This window comes from Homo sapiens, chromosome 12, assembly GCF_000001405.40.
Source record: "Homo sapiens chromosome 12, GRCh38.p14 Primary Assembly".
NCBI classification, from domain to species: domain Eukaryota; kingdom Metazoa; phylum Chordata; class Mammalia; order Primates; family Hominidae; genus Homo; species Homo sapiens.
This window is the reverse complement of record NC_000012.12, coordinates 7635451-7646917: the sequence shown is the minus strand read 5'-3', so window position 1 is coordinate 7646917 and position 11467 is coordinate 7635451. Positions and strand designations below refer to the sequence as shown.

The 11467-nt window shown below is 45.3% G+C and overlaps 3 annotated features.

The window, feature by feature from the left end:
* Positions 6786 to 6885: a silencer, noted in NCBI's record as "silent region_4203". NCBI's record gives its function as "represses an Ori minimal core promoter by ATAC-STARR-seq in GM12878 lymphoblastoid cells {active_cell/tissue: GM12878}" and the evidence as "EXISTENCE:reporter gene assay evidence [ECO:0000049][PMID:35858748]".
* Positions 7967 to 8096: a silencer, noted in NCBI's record as "silent region_4202". NCBI's record gives its function as "represses an Ori minimal core promoter by ATAC-STARR-seq in GM12878 lymphoblastoid cells {active_cell/tissue: GM12878}" and the evidence as "EXISTENCE:reporter gene assay evidence [ECO:0000049][PMID:35858748]".
* Positions 8538 to 9072: an enhancer, noted in NCBI's record as "OCT4-NANOG hESC enhancer chr12:7790442-7790976 (GRCh37/hg19 assembly coordinates)". NCBI's record gives its function as "activates a minimal SCP1, AML or CMV promoter by ChIP-STARR-seq in primed H9 embryonic stem cells {active_cell/tissue: H9 hESC(primed)}" and the evidence as "EXISTENCE:reporter gene assay evidence [ECO:0000049][PMID:30033119]".

Below are 11467 nucleotides of genomic sequence, written 5' to 3'. Positions count from 1 at the left end.
CATTAATTACAGCTGTGCTTTTGCTACTTTCTCTTCCAGTTTTAGCATTGATATTACTATACCTGTGCTATTCAAAAACATAACCTTAATACTGCTGTTTTATCCCACAAGGAGACTCAATTTTATATCAATGTTGTATTCTGATTCTTTCTCTTGCAGAAGTTTATGTTGTTATTTTACTCAGATGTAGAAGAGTTTCACATGTAACATATTCGGTTAATAGGAATAGTCTAAACCATGATATCTATTGGTTTCTTAAGATTCACTGTATAAGCCTGATACGGTTTGGATATTTGTTCCCTCCAAATGTCATGGTGAAATGTGATTCCCAATGTTGGAGGTGGATCCTAATGGCGATATGGCTCTGATGAATGAAGGAACACCAGGGTCTTTGGTCTCCTGCTGATTTAGATAAAACAACACGGAAACACCTTGAGTGGTTTTAAGGAGTAGAGAGTTTAATAGGCAGGAAAGAAGGAAGAAGCTCTCCTGTACAGAGACAGAGGGAGTGAGGCTCCAAGGGAGAAACCTCGTGTGTGGTACGGAAGTAGTTGGTTATATTAGGAAGCTGGAGGAGGAGGTGTCTGATTTGCATAGGGCCCAAGGGATTGGTTTGACCAGGTGTGTCATTCACGTAGACCACAAAAAACCCTGGCACTCCCACCTTAGCCCTTTAACATCCAAATGCAGGCCACCAAGATGTCCTGAGCATGTGTGAGTTATCTGGAGGTGGCTATGACACTTGGCACATGTGGTGACAATGAGAAGAGGGTGGGAATTGCCATGTTGGCCATGTTGGGTGGACCTAGTTTCTAATCACTGGCATTTGCATATCAAACTTGCCGGCCTGGTTTTTCAAGCTGCCTGTTAGAAAAGAAATGGTTTGGGGGTTGCTTCTCATGACAGGAAAATTTCCACTGAGAACTTTTACCCTTTCTAGTGGCCTAAAAATTATTTCCTAATAACTCCTGTATTATTCCCTGCCTCAAGAGAAGTAAACCTAACTGCTGTTAAGGGGTGTTGGATGACAATTCTTTCTGGCTACTTCCTGTTGAAAAGGCTCGTCACGTGAGGGACAGCAGTTGGTCCTCCTCCTGAGGTTGATCTAAGTGTTCTAGGAAGAATGGTGTGTCCATGGGTGGCTCTGCTCGCAGCGTTGTTTGGAGTTTGATTGCTTCTAGGTGAAAAGAGATAAATTTTACAAGAAGATTTAAAATATAGGGTTAGAGTATGAGTATTAAGATGACCACCATTAGAGGGAATTCTGTAGACCATAACTGAGTTTGAAATCTGTTAGTTACACCAAAGGGTTGCAATACCGGTTTTCGTCCACTAGATGCCGTTGTACATTACCAGAGACTTTATATAAAAGTAACATTTTCCTTGAGAAAAGCATACATTTTCCTTGAGAAAAGCATACATTTTCCCCTTGACTTCCCATTAGAGAATAATTTTTGGCATAGGCCATTTTTGTGAGTTGCAATATGATTGGGAGAAATATGATATTGGGTGGCTAAAATAACTTTAGCATTAATCTTGGCAATTCCTTTCCTTTAATTAGTAAATTCTTTTGTGACTTTCACAGACCCTCTTACAACATACTCAAACTCTCTGACTTGTCCTAAACATCCTTCCTGTAAACAACCAGTCATTTCCTTTTAGGACAAGAATTTACCATACACAATCCTTCCTTATATAAAATCTTTCTTTATAAACTTCTTTTAATAGTTTAGAATGCATCCTATTACCAACTTTCAGTAAAAAGTCATATCAAACTTAATGATAGTAAAACTTTTATACTTTCATGCTTGCTTTTTTTCTTTTTTTGATATGGAGTTTCGCTCTTGTTGTCCAAGCTGGAGCGCAATGGCACGATCTCAGCTCACCACAACCTCCTCCTCCCAGGTTCAAGCAATTCTCCTGCCTCAGCCTCCCGAGTAGCTGGGATTACAGGCATGCGCCACCACACCTGTCTAATTTTGTATTTTTTAGTAGAGATGGGGTTTCTTCATGTTGGTCAGGCTGGTCTCGAACTCCCGACCTCAGGTGATCCACCTGCCTCGGCCTCCCAAAGTGCTGAGATTACAGGCATGAGCCATCGCGCCCGGCCTTATGCTTGCTTCTTATCCATAACTATCACTCCTGCTATAAGCAAAATAACCTTGACTAAATCTTTCCTGCAATTATTAATCCTAAGATAAGGAAGATAATCAGGCAAAATATTATAACAATTAGAATTTTACAACCAAAATTCCGCATTGTGGGTGCCACGGTGTATAGTTCCATCGCAAATAGTGGTGTAACTATAACATTTCCCACAAGAGTGGCATAGTAAATAATTTTCGTTTAAGTCTTTACTTGCCTAGATATAACATTTCCCTTTGGGGATCTACAAAGTTACAAATGCAATCCCATGTATAATTAAATCTCGCTGCAAATATGCCTTAAAAGGAATTTTAATATTTGGTGGCAGATTTTGAGAGGAAAGGCAGAAATAATAAAAAGTACCCGATGAGGTAGGAGTAGCCCTCACTCAGTTACTTATCTTTTATGATTTTCAGTTTAAGATCTTCTATTTCTCCACATTGATATTCAGGACGTGCCTCTGGGCTGTCAGAGGTTGATCCCTCAGCTGTTCAGGCTTTGACTTGAATGTGGAAGTCAGGAGTTGATTCCTGTAACTTTTACTGCCAATGGTGTTGAAAGAAGAACAGTGTAGGGCCTTTCCCAGCTTGGCTTAGGGAAGGAGACAGAGATGAGGGTTTTCACTAACACCAAATTTCCTGGGTTAAATAAAGGTGGTTCTGTTTCCTGGGGTTGGACTTCTGTTAGTTGCGTTAATTCTTGTTGGAAGTGAGCTAGAGAGGTTACATGCTTAACCAATTTAGAGGTTTCCTGCCTGAAAACAATCTCTGAGCACACTGATAAGTTTTATCCTTTCCCAAGTGAAAAGCTTGGTGAAGGATTTTAAGGACATTGGCTGGAGGCTGGCAAATGGAGTTTGCCATCCTCTGACTGTAGCCTTTCTGAGGGCTGGGAACTACGTCCTCGAGAAGTGGCCTATTTTATTTCTGCAGGGAAATACTGAGGTTTAATTTTTCTTATGGAGCCTTCCTAGATTAGAAGGGGCTTAAGTGCCTTAACGGCTTGAGGCTTCCTTGCCTCTGACTTAACTGCCTGATCAGCTAACCTATTTCCTTTGGCTACCTCATTTGTTCCCTTTTGATGTTCCTTACAATGCATTCCTGCTATTTCTTGTGGAAGAAAAACTGAAGATAACCTGCTAATTTCCTGGTGATATTTTTATAGGGGATCTATTAATGGTAAGAAAATGTCTTTTCTTTCTTTCTTTCTTTTTGAGACGAAGTCTCGCTCCGTCGCCCAGGCTGGACTGCAGTGGCGCGATCTCGGCTCACTGCAACCTCCACCTCCCAGGTTCACGCCATTCTCGTGTCTCAGCCTCCCAGGTAGGTGGGACTACAGGCGCCTGCCACCACGCCTGGCTAATTTTTTGTATTTTTAGTAGAGACGGGGTTTCACCATGTTAGCCAGGATGGTCTTGATCCCCTGACCTCGTGATCCGCCCGTCTGGCCTCCCAAAGTGTTGGGATTACAGGCGTGAGCCACCGCCTGGCCGAAAATGTCTTTTCTTTCAAATGGCAGCATGAGCATGGAGAACCAAGAAAGCATACTTGGAGTTAGTATAAATGTTAGCTACCTTTCCCTTGCTTAATCCAAGTGTGCTTGTAAAAGCTGTTAGCTCAGCTAATTGAGCGCTTGTGCCTGGGGAGAGACGTTATTTAGAGTGACTACTGCTTATCCTGCCTTATGTACTTCTTGCTTTACTGGCGGTTTGTTGGCTAAGAGCTCCCCCTAGAGGACAGTAATCCTGCCACATTATGTGGGGTGTAAACAGTTAAATTATTTCCTAGGGTTAACTTGGAGGCTTTTCTGATTAGCGAGCTGTCATGATAATGGCTTGGAAGCACGTGTCAACTAAGGTTGAGAAAAATACTGGAGTAGAGTTTTTCCTGAGATGCCCCTTCTGGTTGTGCTATGGGAAGAGGGGAGGCCTGGATTAGAGAGGAGAAAAAAGAGAGACTGGCTGAGTGTTTAGAAAGAGGTCTACTTTCCTTCTTTTAATTTCCAGAATCACTCAGAGCTCCTGTGCTGTAATGGCAGTTTGAGCCGCTGGAGCTGGAGTTTGAGCCCCGGGATCCAGTTCTGCTGGATCATCAGTAAGACTGGTTCTGAACCCAGTGACCTCCACCTCTGGGGGCAGTTCCATCTCCTGTTGTCTCTGCCACAGGCTGGAGAGGGTTGAGGTGGCTTTGTCTTGCTGTATGGGCATTCTTTCTTAACATGCTCTGGCCTGCCACACTGATAGCAACTAGCAGATGCACCTCCGGGATCCTGGACTTTGCAAGCCTGCAAAGCTGCTGCTAGAGTCTCTGTCCTTCTGACCATTGTCTCTTTCTTTTGGGCCTCCTCCTGGTTCCTATTACAAAAGACCAAAGTGGCCACTTTCAGGAAGTTCTCTAAGGTGCTATCTGGTCCTATAGCTTGCTTGTGTAGTTTCCTTTTAATATTGGCAGCTGCCTGTCTAATAAACTTGTCCTTTAGGATGAGCTGTCCCTCGACTGAATCAGGGGATAAGGAGGGGTGTTCTGTTAGTGCCTCTCTCAGCCTTTCCATAAAGGCTACAAGATTCTCATCTGGCTGTTTATCATGGACAGTTTAGAGTAATTGAGAGGTTTGGCCCTGGTTTTCCGTAGGCCCTCTAATGCACACTTAAAAAAGAGCTTCCTTTTCATCTCCTGAGTTATTGGGGTCCCAATTAGGGTTGTCAAGGGAAACTGCTTTCCTCCCAATTGGGAATGGCATTTCTGCTATTTCTTCTCTTTCCTTATCTGCTTTCTTCCCTTTTGGTGTATTATAGGAGATATGTTGCTAATCTCTGAAATCAGAGCTGCCTGCTTTTCAGCTGCAGTGAGGGTCTGACTTAGGAGCAACATAACATCCTTCCATCTGAGGTGAAATACCTGAGTTAAATTTTGGAAAGCTTTTTTTTTGAGACGGAGTCTCACTCTATTGCTAGGCTGGAGTTCAGTGCCGTGATCTTGGCTCACTGCAACCTCCACATCCTGGGTGCAAGCGATTCTCCTGCCTCAGCCTCCCAAGTAGCTGAGATTACAGGCACATGCCACAACGCCCAACTAATTTTTGTATTTTTAGTAGAGACGGGGTTTCACCATGTTGACCAGGATGGTCTCAATCTCTTGACCTCGTGATCTGCCCGCCTCAGCCTCCCAAAGTGTTGGGATTACAGGCGTGAGCCACTGCGCCCAGCCTGGAAAGCTTTTATATACCTATCAGGGTTGTGAGAAAATTGGCTAAGTCTCCCTTTATTACAGGCCTAAGGGGCTGTAACGAGAAGGGAACTTGAAGGGGCCCCCAAAGAAGGGGGATCTTCAGATGGCTCCTCTGGAAGTTGCTTTTCTAATTTTGGGGAATTATTTTCAGTGAGCGTGCCTGATATGATTCCTAAAAGAGCTGGGTTGATCTTACACTGCTTGCAAAGTTTCAGTAAAAATACCATGCCCTTGTGCAAAATAAAATGAGTTGCTCTTCTCTTTAATGTCCTGAGGCTAAGAAAGTTTCAGTGTTTCAGAGTGCACGCCAGAGGGGCACAAACTGAAGATAATCTGTTACCCATCTAGAAAGAAAAGCAATAAAAGTGTCCTTTTAATCTACTTTGATTCCCTATGACCCCCGACGGAGAATAACACAGTGGAGTGTCCTGTTTTCCTTCCCTGGTTCCTGGGACCCTGTTAAATGTGCCACCCACGATTGTAAGCATGGTCCCCCAAGCCATGGGAGCGGATGAACTAAGTGATGGTGTGTCCGGAATGGGTGGGTTCTTGGTCTCACTGACTTCAAAAATGAAGCCGCAGACCCTCACGGTGAGTGTTACAGCTCTTAAGGTGGCGCGTCTGGAGTTTGTTCCTTTTGATGTGCAGGTGTGTTCAGTTTTTTCTTTCTGGTGGGTTCATGGTCTGGCGGGCTCAGGAGTAAAGCTGCAGACCTTTGCGGTCACTGTTACAGCTCTTAAGGCAGCGCGTCGGGAGTTGTTCGTTCCTCCCGGTAGGCTCGTGGTCTCGCAAGCTTTCGTGGTGAGTGCTGTAATTCACAAAAGTAGTATGGACCCCAAGAGCGAAAGAACAAAGCCCCACCAAGGCAGAGAGACACCCGAGCGGGTTACTACTACCAACTCGGGCAGCCTGCTTTTATTCTCTTATCTGGCCCCCCCCCAACCACATCCTGCTGATTGGTAGAGGCGAGTGGTCTGTTTTGACAGGGCGCTGATTGGTGCGTTTACAATCCCTGAGCTAGGTACAAAGGTTCTCCTCCTCCCCATCAGATTAGTTAGATACAGAGTATCCACACAAAGGTTCTCCAAGGCCCCACCAGAGCAGCTAGATACAGAGTGTCGATTGGCGCGCTCACAACCCTGAGCTAGACACAGGGTGCTGATTGGTGTGTTTACAAACCTTGAGCTAGATACAGAGTGTCCATTGGTGTATTTGCAATCCCTGAGCTAAACATAAATTCTCCACGTCCTCACCAGACTCAGGAGCCCAGCTGGCTTCACCCAGTGGATCCCGCACCGGCGCTGCAGTCCCACGCCATGCGCTTGCACTCCTCAGCCCTTGGGCGGTCGATGGGACTGGGCGCCGTGGAGCAGGGGGCGGCGCTCGTCGGGGAGGCTCCGGCTGCACAGGAACCCACGGAGGCGGGGGAAGGCTCAGGCATGGCGGGCTGCAGTCCCAAGGCCTGCCCCGCGGGAAGGCAGCTAAGGCCCGGTGAGAAATCGAGCGCAGCGCCGGTGGGCTGGCACTGCTGGGGGACCCAGTACACCCTCCGCAGCCGCTGGCCCGGGTGCTAAGCCCCTCACTGCCCCGGGCCGGCAGGGCCGGCCGGCTGCTCCGAGTGCGGGGCCGCCAAGCCCACGCCCCCCCGGAACTCCAGCTGGCCCGCAAGCGCCGCGCGCAGCCCCGGTTCCCGCTCGCGCGTCTCCCTCCACACCTCCCTGCAAGCTGAGGGAGCGGGCTGCGGCCTTCGCCAGCCCAGAAAGGGGCTCCCACAGTGCAGCGGTGGGCTGAAGGGCTCCTCAAGTGCCGCCAAAGTGGGAGCCCAGGCAGAGGAGGCGCCGAGAGCGAGCGAGAGCTGTGAGGACTGCTAGCACGCTGTCACCTCTCAATGGGATTAACCACACTTTACCCACGCAACCTTAGCTTATCTGCCTTGTGTGATTCCCTTTGACTTCCTAAGCCTATGTGATCTACCTGGCTCCCTGAAAAATTGATCTTTGGAGAGACTGTGTTGTTTTTGGTCAAGGCTCCTTTAACAGAGGCAATGTGCTAGACTGCCTGCTATTATGGCCCATGCCAAACCATTTACCCTCAGAAAAATGGTTCTGGTTAACTTCTGAACTTAAAATCTCCCTACTAATTATACCATTTTAACAGGAAACAGATTAGATGTCTTAAAAGAGCGTAGGAACAGAATGGCCATTTTCCTGCTTATGGGACAATATCAAGACTAAAATGTGGCAGCAGACATATTACTTCTTTTTGAGACAGAGTCTCACTGTCACCCAGGCTGGAGTGCAGTGACGTAATCTCAGCTCACTGCAACCTCTGCTTCCCCGTTTTAAGCAATTCAATAGCCTCAGCCTCCTGAGCAGCTGGGACCGCAGGTGTGCACCACCACGCCCAGCTAATTTTTGTGTTTTTAGTAGAGACGGGGTTTCACCATATTGGCCAGGCTGGTCTCGAACTCCTGACCTCGTGATCCACCCGCTTTGGCCTCCCAAAGTGTTGGGATTACAGGCGTAAGCCACCATGCCCGGTCGAGGACATATTACTTCTAATTGCTGAAGGCAGAACTTTCCGGTTCACAGAAGTAGGTTAGAGCCTGATTTCTGGTGGTGCAAAAGGAAGTTCAGTGTTACCGTAAAAAATGTGGCCCCTGAAGAGGATTTCTACTTCCACTAGGTGGCGCTGTTGGCTTAGAAATACTATATGCTCACCAGCGCAGCCACAGAGAGCGGGCTTGTTGAGTTACTGCCTGCTGCGTTTGCCATCTTTCCTAGCAGACCTGTTTCACTGAACTGTAAAACTCCCTGCACTTTTCACAGAGAGAGAGTAAGAGACCGTGGATAGAGAAAGAAGGAAAATTTTGCAACAGGATAGTAAGAAGAGAGCCTTGAAATTGAAGGAGAGATTTGAGGTTGGGGCTCGCTCTATAGTCACCACTCCGATGAATGAATTCCCGGTCAATGCAACCAAAATGATAACTGCTCTGATGAATGGAAGAACAGCAGGGTCCTTGGTCTAACATCGTTTTAGATAAAGCGACATGGACACATGTAGAGTGGTTTTAAGGAGTGGAGAGTTTAATAAGCAAGAAAGAAGGAAGAAGCTTCCCAGTACAGGGACAGAGGGAGGGGGGCTCCCAGAGAGAAACCCCGTGTGTGGCAGAGTAGTTTGTTATAGCAGGAGGCTGGAGGAGGAGGTGTCTAATTTGCATAGGGCCCAGGAGATTGGTTTGACCAGGCGTGTCATTCACATAGCCCGTGAAAAACCTGGCACTCCTACCTTACTCCTTTAATATGCAAATGCAGGTCACCATGATATCCATGTTATCTGGAGGCAATCATGACACTTGGCACATGTAGTGATGAGGAGGAGAGGGTGGCACTCTTCCTGTTGGCCATGTTGGGTGGACCCAGTTTCTAATCGCCAGCATTTGCATATCAAAGCTTGCCGGCCTGGTTTTTCAAGCTGCCTTTCTGTTAGAAAAGAAATGGTTTGGGGGTTGCTTCTTATTACAGGAAAATTTCCACTGAGAACCTTTACCCTTTCTAGCGGCCTAAAAGTTATTTCTTAATAATTCCTGTATTATTTGGAGGTGTTTGGGTCATGTGGGTAGATCCCTCCTGAAGTAATGAGTTCTCACTGTTCGTTCACACAAGAGCTTGTTGTTTAAGAGTCTGGCATCTCGCTTGCTCCTACTCTCACCATGTGGCACACTGTCGCCCCTTTGCCTTCCACCATGATTGTAAGCTTCCTGAAGCCCTCATCAGAAGCAGATGCTGGCACTATGCTTCATGCACAGCCTGTAGAACTATGAGTCAACTTAACCCCTTTTCTTTATAGATTACCCAGCCTCAGGTATTCTTTTATAGTAATGCAAGCAGACTAACACAAAGCTCATTATATATTTACAGTAGAGATGGATGTTAATACATGAGCATATTTTATATGAGCCACTATAATTATTGCTATTCCTATAGGAGAAAAATTATTCAGCTGATTAGCAAACTTTCACAGAGAAAATATCTAATGGTCATTAGCTGTACTATGAACTTTAGGCTTTATTTTCTCATTCACAGTTGGAGGCTCAACAAAAATTGTATCAGCTAAATTATCATTTGATATCAACCTTCATGATAGATATTGTTGTAGTAAAGCAAAGTAAAATGAAAGTAAAGTCAAAGTAAAGCAAAGTAAAAGGCTAGAGAGTGTTGGAAGCAGTGAATCCTATTTTAGATGGACTTGCCAAGGATACTGGTAATTTTCTTTTTTTTTTGAGATGGAGTCTTTCTTTGTCATCCGGAGTGGAGTGCAGTGACTTGATCTTGGCTCACTGCAACCTCTGCCTCTGGGGTTCAAGCGATTCTCCTGCCTCAGCCTACTGAGTAGCTGGGATTATAGGCACGTGCCATCATGCCTGGCTAATTTTTGTATTTTTAGTAGAGACGGGGTTTCACCATATTGGCCAGGCTGGTCCCGCACGCCTGACCTTGTGATCTGCCCACCTCGGCCTCCCGAAGTGCTAGGATTACAGGCATGAGCCACTGCACCTGGGCGGATACTGGTAATAAAGTAAATGAGCAGGTCATGTGAAAATCTGGAGAAAGTTTATTTCAAGCAGATGGAAGAAGGTGCAGGCATTTGAAATTGGAACAAAACAAATTTGGCATTTTTTAAGGAATAAAAAATGTGGTTAGAGTGGAATAAATGAGGTGAGAAAATGTAGGAAATAGGGCCAGGGAGACAAGCAAAGGTAAGATTATGTAGGGAAGTATAGGTCATGGAAAGAAATTTGGATTTTCTTTTGAGTAAACTGGATTTTAGAAATTTGTGGTAGTGCAGGATTTATTATGTATTAACAAGAACTGGTTGCCTGCTGTATGGAAAACAGATATAGTGGGGCAAAAGTGAAGTAAGGAAGTCCAGTTAGAAATACAGCAGATATCTAGTAAAGACTAAGCTCTGATTTTTTATCTGGCCTAAATTCCTTATTAAGGGGTATGGGGAGTCATGACCCACAAACCATAAATTCTCATCAGATGGGTTTTATTTAATCCTGTATATTACGACTTACTTTCCAATCTGACTCTGGCATAACTAGAAAGAAAATAAAAATGTTTTACCCCAAAATATATTTTCTTGCCATACCTTGAAATTGCCCTGCAAAGTCCCTTGTGGGAAAAATCCACATTCTATAGAGAATCCCCTTTCCCCTTTGTTTTCCTTTCTTCCTTTCTGGATCCAGGAGATAATCAACTAAGAGCCAGGTACCCTTTTAGGTCTGATAGGAAACATTTTACAACCTGCTGTCTCTGAAGTCTGCTATCAGAGAGCTTCCTCTGCACAATAAAACTTGGTCTCCACAATTCTTTATCTTAACTTGAACATACCTTTCTTTTTTTTGAGACAGAGTCTCACTCTGTCACCCAGGCAGGAGTGCAATGACGCAATCTCGGCTCACTGCAACTTTCGCCTCCTGGGTTCAAAAGATTCTTGTGCCTCAGCCTCCCAAGTAGCTGGGGTTACAGGCACCCACCACCATGCCCAGCTAATTTTTGTATTTTTAGTAGAGACAGGGTTTCACCATGTTGGCCAGGCTGGTCTCGAACTCCTGACCTTGGGTGATCCACCTGCCTTGGCCTCCCAAAGTGCTGGGATTACAGGTGTGAGCCACCACACCCGGCCTGGACATTTCCTTTCTATTGATCCCAGCTCTTCAGATAAACTCAACCAACTGTCATACAGAAAATGTTTAAATTTACCTATAGCCTGGAAGCCCCTGCTTTGAGTTGTCCTGCCTTTCTGAACCAAACCAATGTATTTCTTAAATGTATTTGATGTGTCATGCCTTCCTAAAACATATAAAAGCAAGCTGTACCCCATCCATCCTGGGCACATGTTCTCAGGACCTCCTGAGGGCTGTGTCATGGGCCATGGTCACTCATATTTGGCTCAGAATAAATCTCTTCACATATTTTATAGAGTTTGACTATTTTCATCCATACTAGGAAATATGACTATTATCTCTACTGAAATAAAGATACAAGTGGTGAGAAGTAGTAAGATTTGGGATATATATTAAAGGTTTA